Genomic DNA, 18597 nt, shown 5'->3' on the forward strand with positions numbered 1-18597 from the left:
CCAATAGCAGCACACCAGAATGCAGTTTCAAAGGATACATAAAGCATGCAGGCTCTAAATGCTAACAGTTTGCTCGTTTGGGCTATATTTCAAATAGTTGGATGTGTAAAGATTTGAGTTTGGCACCAGTGGGCTTTGAGCTAACAAGTTTTAGCCTTCAGTGAAGAAATATACAACTGAGGGGCCAATACGCAGAGACCATCTTTGGCTCATTTATATAACAGCATTTGTTCTGTTGAGTTTCAGAATCCTGTAGTTTCTGAATATGATTTAGAGCAATGGGTTTAAGTGAAAAAAAATCACATTCCAACAAAACAATTTGGTGCTCCTTTGAAGCTGTATTTCTTTTCATTTAGTACAATTCAAAATAAACCCAAACATTTAAATTTTATTTGGCTTCAAAACAATTTTCATTTAGTTTAAACTAAAAAGCCAGTCTGGGAGTTAAGAGCACACAGATTAGGGTTAGAAAGATCTGAATCCAACATCTAGTGTTACAACCTACGTAACCTCTATACACATCAGTGTTCTTTTATGTAAAATAAGGATAATCCCTCATCACTATCACAGGATTAAATGAGATGATGCAGGTGAAATAGGACGTGAGACTCTTCTGACCTCAGTGTCCACTGTACAGTGGAAATCGGAATACCCACATGAATGGGAGACAAACCAAGCCTCCACCCCCACCACCCAGTGCAGAATTCTCCGTTTGAACACAGGAGTCATTTATCAGTGACTCTTAACTCTCCTCTCCCATTTAGAGAACAAGGATTAAAATGTGGAAGATAATTTTGCAGGAAGTTTGTGGAAGAAACTTCTTTGGCGAGGGTGGCTACAGAGCTGAGTGTCCACTCCAGCTCTTTGTGGGGAGGGGCGAAAGTGTTAATTTCTAGCCCCAACTTTATGGGTGGTGGGGATGGGGGACTCGTTTCCATGGAATTGTGTGGACAACTTTGCAGAAGACCGCACATCTCTGCAGTGTTTTATTACACGATGCCGTTACATTAGTTTTATACCCAGCTGGTTGATATGGTATAGATGTTTGTCCGTATCCAAGTCTGATGTTGAAATGTGATCCCCAAGGTTGAAAGTGGGGCATAGTAGCAGGTGTTTGGGTCATGGGGACAGATCCCTCATGAATGGCTTGGTGCTGTGTTCGAGGTAATGAGTAAGTTCTAACTCTATTAGTTCATGTAAGAGCTGGTTGCTAAAAGAGCCTGGCATCTCTCTTGCTCCCTCTCCCACCACGTGACATACCTGCTTCCCCTGTGCCTTCTGCCATGAGTAAAAGCTTCCTAAGGCCTCACCAGAAGCCAAGCAGATGTTGGTGCCATGCTTGTACAGTCTGCAGAACTGTGAGCCAAATAAACCTCTTTTCTTTACAAATTACCCAGTCTCAGATGTTCCTTTATAGCAATGCAAAATGACCTAATATACTGGTTATTTATTTCAAATGACGTGTTTTAAGTTTTAATTACAAACATAAATCGACATACATACAGTACCAAAAAACCTTTTGTTGTTTCCAGTAATGAAGTGACAACAACTATACCTCTATAGGTGATTCTGGATTGCCTATATTAACAGATGGAAGGAAAAACTTGGCCTAAAGAAATGGAAACAAGCCACAGCTTAAAATTTACCCTCAACCGTTAACTTTATTCATCTTTCAACAAAACAAACTAGTAGCAAGTTCCTCAGGTAGACTGCAAGATCCTTGAGCTTAAAGGTCTTTTGCAGGGACTCAACTGCAGGTACTGAACTGCAAGACTTCATACCCTTTGCTATTGTTTTATGCCTCATGTCTTAAATGGTGCCTGGAACATAGTAGATGCTCAATAAGTATTTTCCAAAGATTGAATAATATTTACAAGTTTCCTCAAAAACTGCATAACAGTCTCTCCAGAGTTTCTTTGGCTCCTTTTAGGCTGCATCATTCACCAGGGTGCAAATCAGAGACACATGCTGTAGGAACCTAGTGCTGCAATGCTACTTAATACATTGCTCATGTCCCTAATGTAGGGTGTGGGGACATACTTTGTCCTTGATAGTTTCTCCTTCCACCAAGATCCCAAGATCAAGGAGTTGCTCTATTCACAGCTACCCTGATTCCATTTTAATGTTAACCTTGTACTCTGGCTCCTTCTCATTAGCTGTTTTCTGGGTGTGTTTTCTCTCTCTCTCTCTCGGGTTTATTGTATATATTTATTTATTGTATATATTTTTTCTCTCTTGGGTTTATTGTTTATATTTTTGCCTTTCCTTTATGACATTGTAATTGCGTTAGTCTGTTTTGTATTGCTATAAAGGAATACCGGTGGCTAGGTAATTTATAAAGAGAAGAGGTGTAATTGGCTCATGGTTCTGCAGGCTATACAAGCAGCATGGTACCAGCATCTGCCCGGGTTCTGATGAGACCTCAGGAAGCTTTTACTCACCACGGAAGGTGAAGGTGAGCAGGTGTGTCACATGGTGAGAGAGTGAGCAAGAGAGATGCCAGGCTTTTTTAAATAGTCCGCTTTCTCATGAACTGAGTGAGCACTCATTCATCACCAAGAAAATGGCACAAGCCATTCATAAGGGATCTGCTTTCATGATCTAAACACCTCCTACTAGGCTCCACTTCCAACATTAGGAATCACATATCCACATGAAATTTGGAGGGGACACATATCCAAACCATATCACTAATGTTTTCTGGTTACAAATTAATGAAAAGCCAACCAAATAATAGAACATTGTTTCTTCATGGTCTATACTCCATCAGTATAGGAAATTGTGTTCTCTGAGGTTGAACCTTGTCAAGTTCAGTAGCCTATGTACAATTTTTCAATTAATTCGTTTTTAAATTGACAAATAAAAAATTATATTTATGGTGTCCAACATATTTTGATATATGCATGCATTGTGAAATGTCTATATCAAATTAATTAACATACCCATTACCTTACTTAGTTTTTGTAGTGAGAACATTTAAAAATCTACTCTCTTAGCAATTTTCAGACATACAGTACATTGTTATTAACTATAGTCAACATGTTATACAATAGATCTCCTGAATGTATTCCTCCTGTCTAACTGAAATTTTGTACCCTTTGACCAAGATTTGCCCTTTCCCCATCCTCCCACTCTCCCTACCATTCTACTTTGTTTCCATGAGATAGACATTTTTAGATTCCACATACAAGTGAGATCATGCAATATTTGTCTTTCTGTACTTGGCTTACTTCACTTAGCTTAACGTCCTCCAGGTTGATCCACATTGTTGCAAGCAACAGGGTTTCTTTCTTTTTAAAGGCCAGATAGTATTCCATTGTCTTTATATACCATATTTTCTTTATCCTTTCATCTGTCAATGGACACTTAGATTGATTTAATGTCTTTGTGAGTAATGCTGCAATGAACATGGAAACACAGATCTCTATGATGCACTGATTTCATTTCCTTTGGATATATACACAGTTGTAAGATTGATGGGTCATGATAGTTCTATTTAATTTTTTTTTTTATTTGAGACGGAGTCTGGCTCTGTCGCCCTGGCTGGAGTGCAGTGGTGTGATCTCGGCTCACTGCAAGCTTCGCCTCCTGGGTTCATGCCATTCTCCTGCCTCAGCCTCCTGAGTAGCTGGGACTACCAGTAGCTGGGACTACCAGTAGCTGGGACTACAGGCGCCTGCAAACATGCCCGGCTAATTTTTTGTATTTTTAGTAGAGACGGGGTTTCACCGTGTTAGCCAGGATGGTCTCGATCTCCTGACCTCTTGATCCACCCGCCTCAGCCTCCCAAACTGCTGGGATTACAGGCGTGAGCCACCGCGCCCAGCCCTATTCAAAATTTTTTTAGGAACCTCCATAATGTTTCCCATAATGGCTATACTGATTTACATTCCCACCAACAGAGTAGGAGTTTCTCTCTTCTCTATGTCATCACCAACAATTGTCTCTTGTCTTTTTCATAATAGCCATCTTAGCAGGTGTGAGGTGATATCTCATTGTGGTTTTTGTTTGTTTGTTTTTTTGAGATGGATTCTCACTCTGTCACCCAGGCTGGCGTGCGGTGGTGCGATCTCAGCTCACTGAGACTTCTGCCTCCTGGGTTCAAGTGATTCTCCTGCCTCAGCCTCCTGAGTAGCTGGGATTACAGATGCACGCCACCACACCCAGCTAATTTTTGTATTGTAGCAGAGATGGTGTTTTACCATGTTGGCCAGGCTGGTCTCGAACTCCTGAACTCAAGTGATCCACCAGCCTCGGCCTCCCAAAGTGTTGGGATTACAGGCGTGAGCCACCATGCCCGGCCTCATTGTGGTTTTAATTTGCATTTCCCTGATGATTAATGATATTGAGCATTGTTTTATATGCCTGTTGGTCACTTGTAGTCTTATTTAGAAAAATGTCTATTCAGGTTCTTGGCCCATGTTAAAATCAGGTTAATTGGGCTTTTTTTTTTTTTTTTTTTGCTATTGAGTTGAGTTCCTTATATAGTCTGAATATTAACCTTTATCAGATGTATGGTTCACAAATATTTTCTCTCATCCCATAGGCTGTCTCTTCACTCTTGATTTTTTTTCCCTTGGTATGCAGGAGCTTTTTATTTTCATGCAATCCTATTTATCTATTTTTGCTTGTACTGTTGGGGTCATATCCAAAAAATCTTTGCCTATACCAGTGTCAAGAAGGTTTTCCCCTAGAGTTTCTTCTAATAGTTTTACAGTGTCAGGTCTTATGTCTAAGTTGTTAATCCATTTTGAGTCTATTTTTATATGTGGGGTGAGAGAGGAGTCTAATTTCATTCTTCTCCATGTGGATATGCAATTTTCCCAACATCATTTATTGAAGAGACTGTCCTTTCCTCTGTGTGTTCTTGGCACCTTTGTTGAAGATCAGTTGACTGTAAATGTGTGGATTTTATTTCTTGACTTTTAATGTTGTCCATAACTGTATTCTTATTCATTTACTTTCAGGGCCCTTCTATCTACTAAATGGTTTTTCCACTCTCAAGCATTTTTAGTCAACTTTCTTGGGACAATGAGTATCTCCAATTGAGCTTTGGCATGCACAGAATCACCCTGCTTTTGGTAGTTGCTTTATAATATTTCCTTATCACCCTTTTTCTCAACCCAGACTCTACCACTAAATTGATTGGATATGCAGACTACTACATATGCAGACTACTACACCACTTTTTTCTTTATTGAATCAATCATATATTAGAAACCTACATTCAAAATGATTTTTCCAGCCCTTCTTAGGTAATTAAATCTACATATATGGTGGGGCCAGGGGTTTTTACCACTCAAATCATAGGGATTAGTTACCCCATTACTACTACCAGATTACTATAAAATGCCATAATATTTTATGTGCAAGAAAAATGCCAAAGGAAGCCTTCAAGCTTTAAACATCATTAGGAAAGTAATTTTATTTAAAAATATTACAAGCTTAGAACCCACAGAAATAATTCTATGAGGAGTAAATTTTTTAAATAGCTATGTAGAATATAACTAAATTCATAATAACAGCTAGCTGTAGTATAGGCATGTCAGATTTGTATATACCCAATTTAAGATATTTATATAATAGGACACCCTGAAATAGCTGCTTGGAAGTAACACGGTAATGTGACAGCCCCTTCCTTTTCAGGATTTTTGCTTGGAATTTCCTTTCCTTTATTTTCATGATGGACATGGAGCTGCACTGCCCAGATCTCCCTTGAGGGAAGAACAGCCTGCCCAGCTGCAGAAAGTGGGATCATCAGACAATCTGCGGCTGGCAGCCCCTTGATGGTCTGCTTTGGTCTGGATTTCCTGCACTTGGTGACCAAGTGAGTCAGAGTACGAAGGCCTGATCATTCAGACTCAGCACAGAACAACTCCATAGGGCAATTCTTGCTCCAGAGCTCTTGTCCGGTAGCCCAAGGCTTTTTCAGGAATACCTTTGTTTGTCTAACTTCTCCTTCTGCCCAATCCTTCTTCCTTTCCTTTCCCTTCACGGAAAATAAATATCTTGTACCTCACATTCAGTGTCTAGTGTCTGCTCCTGGAATACTTCATCTCTATCATCTCACCCCAACCTGAGTTAGCCTCTCCTCCGCTACCACATCCCATAGTCCTCCAGTGCTAGTTGTAAAAGCAGAAGGGATAGTGAACGAGGGACAGGGAACAGGTGCAATGTGAGTTCAGCCCTCATCTCCCCACCTTGCCTCCTGAATAAGCACAGTAGGCCTAGGATGTGGCATCTGCTGAGCTGGTGGCTTATTCTGGTTTGGGGATAGAAAAGGTCATCTGGAAGCTCCATTGGGGGTACTGTGAGATGCTGGTCATTTTACTTTTTCTTGCTGTTCACTTAAGGCAAAGCTTTGCTCCAAGTGTTCAAAAATAAAGCTTTCACATCATGCAATATACTCAGGTAGCAATCTGCAAATGCACTGCCCCCTGAATCTAAAGTAAAATTTGAAAAAGAAAAAAAAAGAGAAGCTTTCGTGAGGTTGGCATTTTCTTCTCTGGCCCATAGATCCCTACCAGGAGAGCATCCTGTGCATCCCTGACGTGGTTGCCAAGCCCTCAGGTCAAGCCTCCAAGCCCTATCCCCAACCCCTCCTCTCTCACCCAACCCCAGCCCCCATCCTAATATCCTTGAAAATGGAGAACTGAGCAGCACTGCAGGGCCAGGCTACCAGGAAAGGGCTCAGACCCCTGGCTGTGTGTTTGCCCTGGATCTCCCCCACTTCTCTTTCCCCTATCCCCCTGGGTGGCTTAGACTTCAATCTGTTTTCTGAAGCTTTTCTCAGAACAGAAACGCCTTATTAATGCATCTGGGAGACAGCCAAGGAAATGTTTAAAGTTCTGTCTTATGATACAGAGTTGGGAGCCGTGGCAAGAGAAGACCCAGACCCTGGAAGATGATGTTGCCCACGACTCTCTTGACTCTCAGGGTGTCAGATTAACTTCCATTATCTTTCTGGTGCTCTGATTCATAGTTGCCCATTCATTAGCACACTGACAACCATAAATATTTATTTTAAAATACAGAACTTGGCCATGAAATAATTGGGGAAATGGCATTATTTCCTGTTCAACCAGATTATTTGCCCATGGATATTTATCTTATTGGAGAAGCGAAGAGACTTACCTGTCTTGCAATAACAAAAAGGGAGATTCACTCAATTATACCCTTGGGGGTGGTGGGGGGGGGGTGCAGGGAATAAGGCAGAAGGCAGCACTACGGCTAGAACCTGCTAGCTGGATATTTGCAAGCTACAGGGACCTGACTTGACCCTGGAAGACGAGCTGGGGAGGGGAGCACAGGCTGTGGGTGAAATGCAAAAATCTGTTTTTCCATGCTGGCTAACTAAGATCATTTTGTATGAAGCTATAGCTCCCGGCTAAACTCCAGGAGGCCTGCTCTTACTTCTTGCATCTGTGCCCACATCTTAGAGGTTTTCTGCATGGTCCGTCTGAGTGTGTGATCCTAAAGAATGTTTTCAGAAGCTGTTGGGCATGTGCAGCAGTGAAAGAGGCTACTGTGTATGCACAGAAATGAGACACAAACGGCAATATTTCAGAGATTGTAGACAACATGATTCTTCTGAAGACCCTACGCTTAAAGCTTCTTCTGTGGAATCTGGGGACTTGCTGTGGGGATGCAGTTTAGGTGTCACCTGTTGGGGAATTGAGAGTTGGTGAGATCACTCCTCAGAGCCTCTGTGTGCCCTAGGACTTTTCTGGTTTATGCTTATTTTAATAGTGGGTTTGGGAATTAAATCATCAGAGCTGGTCTGAACACAGCCCTGCTCAAAGCCAAACATTTCACAGGCGTTTGGAAGAGGTGCTGTTATAGTTGATGAGGATAATTGTTACCACTTGTCCCTCAAGGTTTTCCAGACCATGGTGATCTTTTCTGTGCTTAGCTTACGGAAGTCAGGGTTTTTAACCAGGCACCAGTGAGCATCTGAGCAGATTCAAAGATGCTTCCCAAGATGAGGGCTGGAGAGAACACACCACCAAGTTTGTTTACCTTAAATGGCAACAATCAACCTTTCTTTCCCTGGTTCCTGAATAACCCATGACTATCTTTCCAGGTAACCAGAGGAACTCCCTGTACCCAGTTTCCTCATCTATAAACACAGAGATGATAATAATAATACTGACCTCACAGGGGAGTTGCTATGAGTGATAGATGAGGTAACACATGAAGTTACTTAGAGGCCAGGCGCAGTGTCTCATGCCTGTAATCCTAACACTTTGGGAGGTTGAGGCAGGCAGATTGTTTGAGCCCAGGAGTTCAAGACCAGCCTGGGAAACACCGCAAAACTCTGTCTCTACAAAAAATACAAAAATTAGCCTGGCATGGTGGTGTGCACCTGTAGTCCCAGCTACTTGAGAGGCCGAGGTGGGAGGATCACCTGAGCCCAGGAGGTCGAGGTCAGGGCTGTGATGAGCCATGATCACACCATTACACTGCAGCTTGGATGACAGAAAGAGAACCTGTGAAAGAATGAAAGAACCAAAGAACCAAAGAAAGAAATTTCATCTGGTACACATGGCTGCTGACAGGATTTACCACTGCCTCTTATTCAGCATTTGTGAATGATGGTGGTCTCCACTGGGTTTGGTGGTGCTTTCTAAACACAGCCAAAAGCTTGGCTAACGCTGTCAATATTCAAGAGGGGAATGTTAACTAATCATGCCTTGATTCTCCAGCTCTACCCTTTTATTACCAGATAACCAGAAAATCACATACTTGGATAGATTATTTTGACTTCTACATTTAGTTATTTCTACCCTACCATATTCTACCAACTATTTGAAGCCACGTATGCATAATGAAATATATGGGTTTGTTTTTTTTTTTTTTTTTGAGACAGAGTCTTGCTCTGTTGCTGAGGCTGGAGTGCAGTGGCGCGATCTCGGCTCACTGCAAGTTCTGCCTCCCGGGTTCATGCCATTCACCTGCCTCAGCCTCCCCTGTAGCTGGGACTACAGGCACCCGCCACCACGCCCGGCTAATTTTTTGTATTTTTAGTAGAGATGGGGTTTCACCATGTTAGCCAGGATGGTCTCGATCTCCTGACCTCATGATCTGCCCGCCTCAGCCTCCCAAAGTGCTGCGATTACAGGTGTGAGCCACTGCGCCCAGCTGAAATATATGTTTTAAAGATTCATATCCAGGGAAAACTCAGAGGAAGAGATTTTAAAAATTATTTTATCTTATTTTCATAGGTTTTTGGGGAACAGGTAGTATTTGGTTGCATGAGTAAGTTCTTTAGTGGTGATCTGTGAGATTTTGGTGCACCCATCACCCAAGCAGTATACACTGAACCCAGTTTGTAGTCTTTTATCCTTCACCCCCTTCCACCCTTTCCCCCAAGTCCCCAGTGTCCATTGTATCATTCTGATGCTTTTGCATTCTCATAGCTTAGCTCCCACTTAAGAGTGAGAACATACGATGTTTGGTTTTCCATTCCTGAGTTACTTCACTTAGAATAATAGTCTCCAATTCCATCCAGGTTGCTACAAATGCCATTAATTCATTTCCTTTTTATGGCTGAGTAGTACTCCATTGTGTGTGTGTGTATATATATGTATATATATAGTGTGTATACACACACACACACACACACACACACACATATATATATATATAACTTCTTTATCCTTTTGTTGATTGATGGGCATTTGGGCTGGTTTCGTATTTTTGCAGTTGTGAACTGTGCTACTATAAACGTGTGTACAAGTATCTTTTTTGTGTAATGACTTCTTTTTCTCTGGGTAGATACTCAGTAGTAGGATTGCTAGATCAAATGGTAGTTCTACTTCTAGTTCTTTAAGGAATCTCCACACTATTTTCAATAATGGTTGTACTAGTTTACATTCCCACCAGCAGTGTAGAAGTGTTCTCTTTTCACCACATCCATGCCAACATCTTTTATTTTTTGGTTTTTTGGTTATGGCCATTCTTGCAGGAGTAAGGTGGTATCACATTGTGGTTTTGATTTGCATTTCCCTGATCATTAGTGATGTTAGCATTTTTTCATATGTTTGTTGGCAATTTGTATATCTTCTTTTGAGAATTGTCTATTCATGCCCTTAGCCTACTTTTTGATGGGATTGTTTATCTTTTTCTTGCTAATTTGTTGGAGTTCCTTGTAGATTCTGAATATTGGTCTTTTGTCGGATGTATAGATTGTGAAGATTTTCTCCTACTCTGTGGGTTGTCTGTTTACTCTGCTGACTATTCCTTTTGCTATGCAGAAGCTCTTCAGTTTAATTAAGTCCCACCGATTTATCTTTGTTTTTGTTGCATTTGCTTTTGGGTTCTTTGTCATGAAGTCTTTGCCTAAGCCAATGTCTAGAAGGGTTTTTCTGATGTTATCTTCTAGAATTTTTATAGCTTCAGGTCTTAGATCTAAGTTCTTCATCCATCTTGAGTTGGTTTTTGTATGAGGTGAGAGATAAGGATCCACTTTCATTCTCCTCTGTGTGGCTTGCCAATTATCCTAGCACCATTTGTTTAATAGGGTGTCCTTTCCCCACTTTAAGTTTTTGTTTGCTTTGTTGAAGATTAGTTGGCTGTAGGTATTTGGGTTTATTTCTGGGTTCTCTATTCTGTTCCATTGGTCTATGTGCCGATTTTTATACCAGTACTATGCTGTTTTGGTGACTATGGCCTTCAAGCATAGTTTGAAATCAGGTAATATGATGCCTCCAGATTTTTTCTTTTTGCTTAGTCTTGCTTTCGCCATGCAGGCTCTTTTTGGGTTCCATACGAATTGCCTTTTCTAGTTCTGTGAGGAATTATGGTGGCATTTTGATGGGAATCGCATTGAGTTGGTAGATTGCTTTTGGTAGTATGGTCATTTTCACAATATTGATTCTACCCATCCATGAGCATGGGATGTGTTTCCATTTGTTTGTGTCATCTATGATTTCTTTCAGCAGTGTTTTGTAGTTTTCCCTGTAGAGGTCTTTCACCTCCTTGGTCAGGTATATTCCTAAGTATTTTATTTTTTTGGCAGCTATTGTAAAAGGAGTTGAGTCCTTGATTTGATTCTCAGCTTGGCTGCTGTTGGTATATAGCAGAGCTACTAATTTGTGTACATTAATTTTGTATCCTGAAACTTTGCTGAATTCACTTACCAGTTCTAGGAGCTTTTTGGAGGAGCCTTAGGGTTTTCTAGGTATACTATCATATCATTAGCAAACAGTGACAGTTTGACTTCCTTCTTACCGATTTGGATGCCCTTTATTTCTTTCTCTTGTGTGATTGCTCTGGCTAGAACTTCCAGCACTATGAACACCTTTAGGCACATAAACTAGAAAACCTAGAAGAGAAAGATAAATTCCTGGAAAGACTCCACCCTCCTAGCTTAAAGCAGGAAGGATTAGAAACCCTGAAAAGTCAATAACAAGCAGTGAGGTTGAAATGGTAATTTTAAAACATACCAACAAAAAAAAGCTCAGGACCAGATGGATTCACAGCTGAATTCTATCAGACATTCAAAGAAGAATTGATACCAATCCTATTGACACTATGCCACAAGATAGAGAAAGAGGGAATCCTCCCTAAATCATTCTATGAAGCCAGTATCACCCTAATACCAAAACCAGGAAAGGGCATAACCAAAAAAGAAAACTACAGACCAATACCCCTGATGAACATAGATGCAAAAATCCTTAATAAAATACAAGGTAAACAAATCCAACAACATATCAAAAAGATAATTCACCATGACCAAGTGGGTTTCATGCCAGGGATGCAGGGATAGTTTAACATACTCAACTCAATAAATGTGATACACCACATAAACAGAATTAAAAAGCAAAATCACATGATCATCACAGTAGATGCAGAAAAAGCATTTGACAAAATCCAGCATCCCTTTATGATTAAAACCCTCAGCAAAATCAGCATACTAGGGATATACCTCAATGTAATAAAAACCATCTATGACAAACCCACAGCCAACATAATACTGAATGGGGAAAAGTTGAAAGCATTCCCTCTGAGAACTGGAACAAGACAAGGATGCCCACTCTCACTGCTTCTATTCATCAGAGGAAGAGATTTAAAAAAAAATTTTTTTTTGAGACAGAGTCTTGCTCTGATCACAGCAATGGTGTGATCATGGCTCACTGTAGCCTTGATTTCCCAGGCTCAAGCAATCCTCCTGCCTCAGCCTCCCAAGTAACTGGGTCTACAGGCACACACCACCACACCTGGTTAATTTTTTTGAATTTTAGTAGCAATGGGATCTCACTGTGTTGCTCAGGCTGCTCTCGAACCCCTGGCCTCAAGTGATCCTCACACTTCAGCCTCCCAAAGTGTTAGGATTACAGGTGTGAGTCACCATGTCTGGCCTGAAATTTGCGTGTTTGTGTAATTTTATATATAACAAATAATTTGAATTATATAATTGATTTAAATTATAAATAAAATTGAGTGTAGAGATGAATAGTACACAGAAATGATCAACATAAAGATAAACCTGGGAAGCAAATTTCCTTTGAAGTTTCTTGGAGACCAAAGGAAAAAGAGAAATAAGATTACCAACAATCTATGCTGTCCAAAAGAAGAAAACACACAAATTCTTCAGAGAAAAAAACCCCCACAAGTACATATCCTCAAACTTGGGAAAAAACGTTTTTCATATGAACTACTGGTTTTTCATATGAACTACTGAGAACTGCTGTGCCTAATGTCCTCACCACTCCTGAATGATGAATGTAGTAGCTAACTTGGTATGAGATTACTAGAATGTCCTTCAATACATTCCAAGTGAGTAATGCCAAACATGTTGAAGGTAACTGTGAAGCTCAAAATAAGGTGTTCCAATCTGAGACCTCTCTTTGGAGCTAGCTTAATCCAGTGAAAAACAGACTATGAAGGGGACAAGGGGAGACTGGATGTCCTTACAATTCTCTTCCATTTTATATTGTTTCTCCCAACTGTCTAAACAAAAACCCAAAAAAACAAAAAGAATGCGGCAGACAATTTGAGATTATAGTTTTTGGTAGGATGCTACACTGTATTACAGTTTAACATTTAGAACTTTGTCTTTCATGGGGAATTGGTATTAGCTAATGTATGATAAAATTGCTATATGTTTTTGAAGACACAATTTTCAGTAGCCTTTTTATTAGATTCACCTGCTATGTTTTTCTTAGAACTATCTGCTAGGAAGAAATTGATAAACTGGTATGCTTTCAGGTATTAGATAATAAGAGCTTGATGCCAGAAAACTTAGGGGTGAATTTTAGTTTTAACATCAGTTGCTGTCTTTCACCCAGGTTTTCTAGAATAACTATTTTTCTCTTTTCTTACTTAGCTCTTATTCTGCTATCATGGTTTAAAGACTCTTGTACTATTTGTGTCAGTTATTCTAAGCCACCTCAGAACATTTTTCAAAAGAAGGTGAGGCATGAATTTAACATGAAATCCATAACAGCATTTTGTGACGCAAAGGAGAACATTTAAAATTCATTCACTAAATGTTTTAATCAATATTGGTTTTGACTGGAAGTAACACAGAACCCGACACAACTTTGACTTAAAGGGTTTGTCTCACACATCAAGGAGCCCAGAGAAAGGCAGTCCAAGGCTGATATGGGTGTTTAATGACATAACCAAGAACTCAGGGTCTTCTGATCCTTTAGCTCCACCACTAATCTGCATAGCATTCATTCTCATGGCCAAAGGTAGCTGCTCACCCCTCACCACCAATGTACCATGTATGCATACACACTTCCCATAGTGGCTAGCATAGCATAGGTGCTAATAAATATTTTTTGATAGAATGAATAATACAAAATAACCTGAAAGGACTAGAAGCATATTTTCCTCTGTTTGCACTTTTAATAAATAGACTACTTGAGTTTTAAACTAATGGATGGCGTTAGTATAATAAACCGTTCATTACAATTCAGAATATGATCATTTAAACTTCACAATAGTACTTCAATTTTGTAACGTTACATTTCAAATCAGGGTTATGAACTCTGCCAGAGGTACATATTCATGATCAAAGGGAAAATGCAATATAATCTGTCAATCAGCTTTTTTTTCTGTACATAAAAGTTTTAAAACATTTAAGCCAGTTTAAATGTGAGACATTAATTTCCTTGTTGCTCTTATATGAAATTTAGCAACAATCTGACTTTTAGCTATGACATTTACACAAATCAAGTTATATAAACATAGTTTATCTCTAGAGATCTTATATCAGGTTATATCAGCTAAGAGCCTTAAAAATAATATTTAACTAAATAAAACTAGTTAAGTCATGAATAGCACTTTATGCCTTCACATCTTCTGCAGTCTGTTTCTGTTTTTTAAGTAAAAGCTTCTGCCCTGAATCTATAATCCCCAAAACTTGTATGTTCTCAGCTTCTTGGCAACTATGACTTTTGAAACAAGAGTGAATTTTTTTCTTTTGAGACAAGAATGAGTTTCAAGGTAGATCCTTTTCTTTAAACAAATAGTTTATTACAGTTAACAGAAGGCAATAAAATACATTTAAATATAAGTGTACATCATAATAATACTTAACATTGTTTTCTTATACATATTCACTAGTTTATTCTATCATTGAGCACTTATTGTGTGCCATGCACTGGGCTGGATGCTAGGGGATATTTTGTTTTATTTCAATGGTAACAGTTGACTTTATGTCTATGAGCATGTGAGTAGAGCTGATGAAATCCTGACTTTCTGGGATATTTGATCCACTACTGTTTTGTTTTGTTATACTGTTTTGTTAAGATCATCTCCTATAATGATGCCACTAGGAAAACTAACTTCTATTTACTTATTTTTTTTTTTTTTTTGAGACAGGGTCTCACTTTGTTGCCCAGGCTGGAGTACGCTGGTGAAATATGCCTCACTGCAGCCTCTACCTCCTGGCTCAGGTAATCCTCCTGCCTCAGCCTCCTGAGTACCTGGGACTACAGGCATGTGCCGCCACACCCAGCTAATGTTTTGTATTTTGTGTAGAGACAGGGTTTTATTTTGTTGCTCAGGCTGGTCTCGAACCCCTGGACTTAAGCAGTCTGCCCACCTCGGCCTCCCAAAGTGTTCGGATTACAGGCATGAGCCACCGTGCCTGACCAAAAGTAACTTTTGAACTGGAAAACCTTTAGTAAAGTCATAAGGTTTTTGATGGTATAAGTTTGCATAAGGAAGTTTCTCCCGTTGTAAACATAGCACAGTAAACATCAAGGAGGGACTTGGGTTTGTTTATACTGCTACAATATAATGGAGTAGACAGGGGAGCATCTACCCGTCTCTTTTATGTTTGTTTTGTTTTTTCATTTTTTTATTAGTGTTTTTTTTTATTATACTTTAAGTTCTGGGGTACATGTGTAGAACTTGGAGGTTTATTAGATAGATATACATGTGCCATGGTGGTTTGCTGCACCCATCAACCCAACATCTACATTAGGTATTTCCCCTAATGCTATCCCTCCCCATCCCCCCACCCTCTGACAGGCACCGCTGTGTGATGTTCCCCTCCCTGTGTCCAAGTGTTCTCCTTGTTCAACTCCCACTTATAAGTGAGAACATGTGGTGTTTGGTTTTCCGTTCTTTGCTGAGTTAGTTTGCTGAGAATGATGGTTTCCAATATCATCCATGTCCTTGCAAAGGACATGAACTCATCCTTTTTTATGGCTGCATAGTATTCCATGGTATATATGTGCCACATTTTCTTTATCCAGTCTATCATTGATGGGCATTTGGGTTGGTTCCAAGTCTTTGCTATTGTGAACAGTGCCGCAATAAACATACGTGTGCATGTGTCTTTATAGTAGAATGATTTATAACCCTCTTGGTATATACCCGGTAATGGGATTGCTGGGTCAAATGGTATTTCTAGTTCTAGATCCTTGAGGAATTGCCACACTGTCTTCCACAATGGTTGAACTAATTTACACTCCCACCAACCGTGTAAAAGCATTCCAGTTTCTCCACATCCTCTCCAATATGTTATTTCCTGACTTTTTAATGATCACCATTCTAACTGGCATGAGATGGTATCTCATTGTGGTTTAGATTTGCATTACTCTAATGACCAGTGATGATGAGCATTTTTTCATATGTTTGTTGGCTGCATAAATGTCTTCTTTTGAGAAGTGTCTGTTCACGTCCTTTGCCCAGTTTTTGATGGGGTTGTTTTTTTCTTGTACATTTGTTTAAGCTCTTTGTAGATTCTGGACATTAGCCCTTTGTCAGATGGATAGATTGCAAAATTTTTCTCCCATTCTGTAGGTTGCCTGTTTACTCTGATGACAGTTTCTTTTGCTGTGCAGAGGCTTAGTTTAATTAGATCCCATTTGTCTATTTTGGCTTTTGTTGACACTGCTTTTGGTGTTTTAGACATGAACTCCTTGCCCATGCCTATGTCCTGAATGGTACTGCCTAGCTTTTCTTCTAGGGTTCTTATGGTTTTAGGTCTTATGTGTAAGTCTTTAATCCATCTTCAGTTACTTTTTGTATAAAGTGTAAGGAAAGGATCCAGTTTCAGCTTTCTGCATATGGCTAGCCGGTTTTCCCAACACTGTTTATTAAATAGGGAATCTTCACCATTGCTTGTTTGTGTCAGGTTTGTCAAAGATCAGATGGTTGTAGATGTGTGGTGTTATTTCTGAGGCCTCTGTTCTGTTCCATTGGTCTATATATCTGTTTTGGTACCAGTACCATGCTGTTTTGGTTACTGTAGCCTTGTAGTGTAGTTTAAAGTTAGGTAGCGTGATGCTTCCAGCTTTGTTCTTTTTGCTTAGGATTGTCTTGGCTATGCAGCCTCTTTTTTGGTTCCATATAAAATTTAAAGTAGTTTTTTCAATTCTGTGAATACCTTGATGGGGATAGCATTGAATCTATAAATTACTTTGGGCAATATGACCATTTTCACAATATTGATTCTTCCTATCCATGAGCATGGAATGGTCTTCCATTTGTTTGTGTCCTCTTTTATTTCCTTGAGCAGTAGTTTGTAGTTCTCTTTGAAGAGGTCCTTCACATCCCTTGTAAGTGGTATTCCTAGGTGTTTTATTCTCTTTGTAGCAATTGTGAATGGGAGTTTGCTCATGATTTGACTCTCTGTTTGTCTGTTATTGATGTATAGGAATGCTTGTGGTTTTTGCACATTGAGTTTGTATCCTGAGACTTTGCTGAAATTGCTTATCAGCTTAAGGAGATTTTGGGCTGAGACGATGGGGTTTTCTAAATATACATCACGTCATCTGCAAACAGAGACATTTTGACTTCCTCTTTCCCTCACTGAATACCCTTTATTTCCTTCTCCTGCCTGATTGCCCTGGCCAGGACTTCCAATACTATGTTGAATAGGAGTGGTGAGAGAGGGCATCCTTGTCTTGTGCCGGTTTTCAAAGGCAATGCTTCCAGTTTTGCCCATTCAGTATGATATGGGCTGTGGGTTTGTCATAAATAGCTCTTATTATTTTGAGATACGTTCCATCAATACCTAATTTATTGAGAGTTTTTAGCATGAAGGGATGTTGAATTTTGTTGAATGCCTTTTCTGCATCTATTGAGATAATCATGTGGTTTTTGTCATTGGTTCTGTTTATGTGATGGATTACGTTTACTGATTTGCGTTCGTTGAACCAGCCTTGCATCCCAGGGATGAAGCTGACTTTATCGGGCTGGATAAGCTTTTTGATGTGCTGCTGGATTTGGTTTTCCAGTATTTTATTGAGGATTTTCGCATTGATGTTCATCAGGGATATTGGCCTGAAATTTTCTTTTTTTGTTGTGTCTCTGCCAGGTTTTGGTATCAGGATGATGCTGGCCTCTTAAAATGAGTTAGGGAGGATTCCCTCTTTTTCTATTGTTTGGAATAGTTTCAGAAGGAATGGTACCAGCTCCTCTTTGTACCTCTGGTAGAATTCGGCTGTGAATCCATCTGGCCCTGGACTTTTTTTTGTTGGTAGGCTATTAATTACTGCCTCAATTTCAGAACTTGTTATTGGTCTATTCAGGGATTTGACTTCTTCCTGGTTTAGTCTAGGGAGGGTGTATGTGTCCAGGAATTTATCCATTTCTTCTAGATTTTCTAGTTTATTTGCGTAGAGGTGTTTATAGTATTCTCTGATGGTAGTTTGTATTTCTGTGGGATCAGTGGTGACATCCCCTTTATCATTTTTTATTGCATCTATTTGATTCTTCTCTGTTTTCTTCTCTATTAGTCTGGCTAGCGGTGTATCTGTTTTGTTGATCTTTTCCAAAAATCAGCTCCTGGATTCATTGATTTTTTTGGAAGGGTTATTGATGTCTCCATTTCCTTCAGTTCTGCTCTGATCTTAGTTATTTCTTGCCTTCTGCTAGCTTTTGAATGCGTTTGCTATTGCTTCTCTAGTTCTTTTAATTGTGATGTTAGGGTGTCAATTTAGATCTTTCCTGCTTTCTCTTGTGGACATTTAGTGCTATAAATTTCACTCTACGTGCTGCTTTAAATGTGTCCCAGAGATTCTGGTACATTGTGTAGACAGTTTGTTATAATTTCTTTTACATTTGCTGAGGAGTGCTTTACTTCCAACTATTGGTCAATTTTGGAATAAGTGCGGTGTGGTGCTGAGA

At 39.6% G+C, this 18597-nt stretch overlaps 1 annotated feature.

The window, feature by feature from the left end:
* Nucleotides 17101–17301: a silencer, noted in NCBI's record as "peak904 fragment used in MPRA reporter construct". NCBI's record gives its function as "represses an SCP1 promoter by STARR-seq MPRAs in K562 erythroleukemia cells {active_cell/tissue: K562}" and the evidence as "EXISTENCE:reporter gene assay evidence [ECO:0000049][PMID:32103011]".

Source organism: Homo sapiens, chromosome 10, assembly GCF_000001405.40.
Source record: "Homo sapiens chromosome 10, GRCh38.p14 Primary Assembly".
Taxonomy (NCBI): domain Eukaryota; kingdom Metazoa; phylum Chordata; class Mammalia; order Primates; family Hominidae; genus Homo; species Homo sapiens.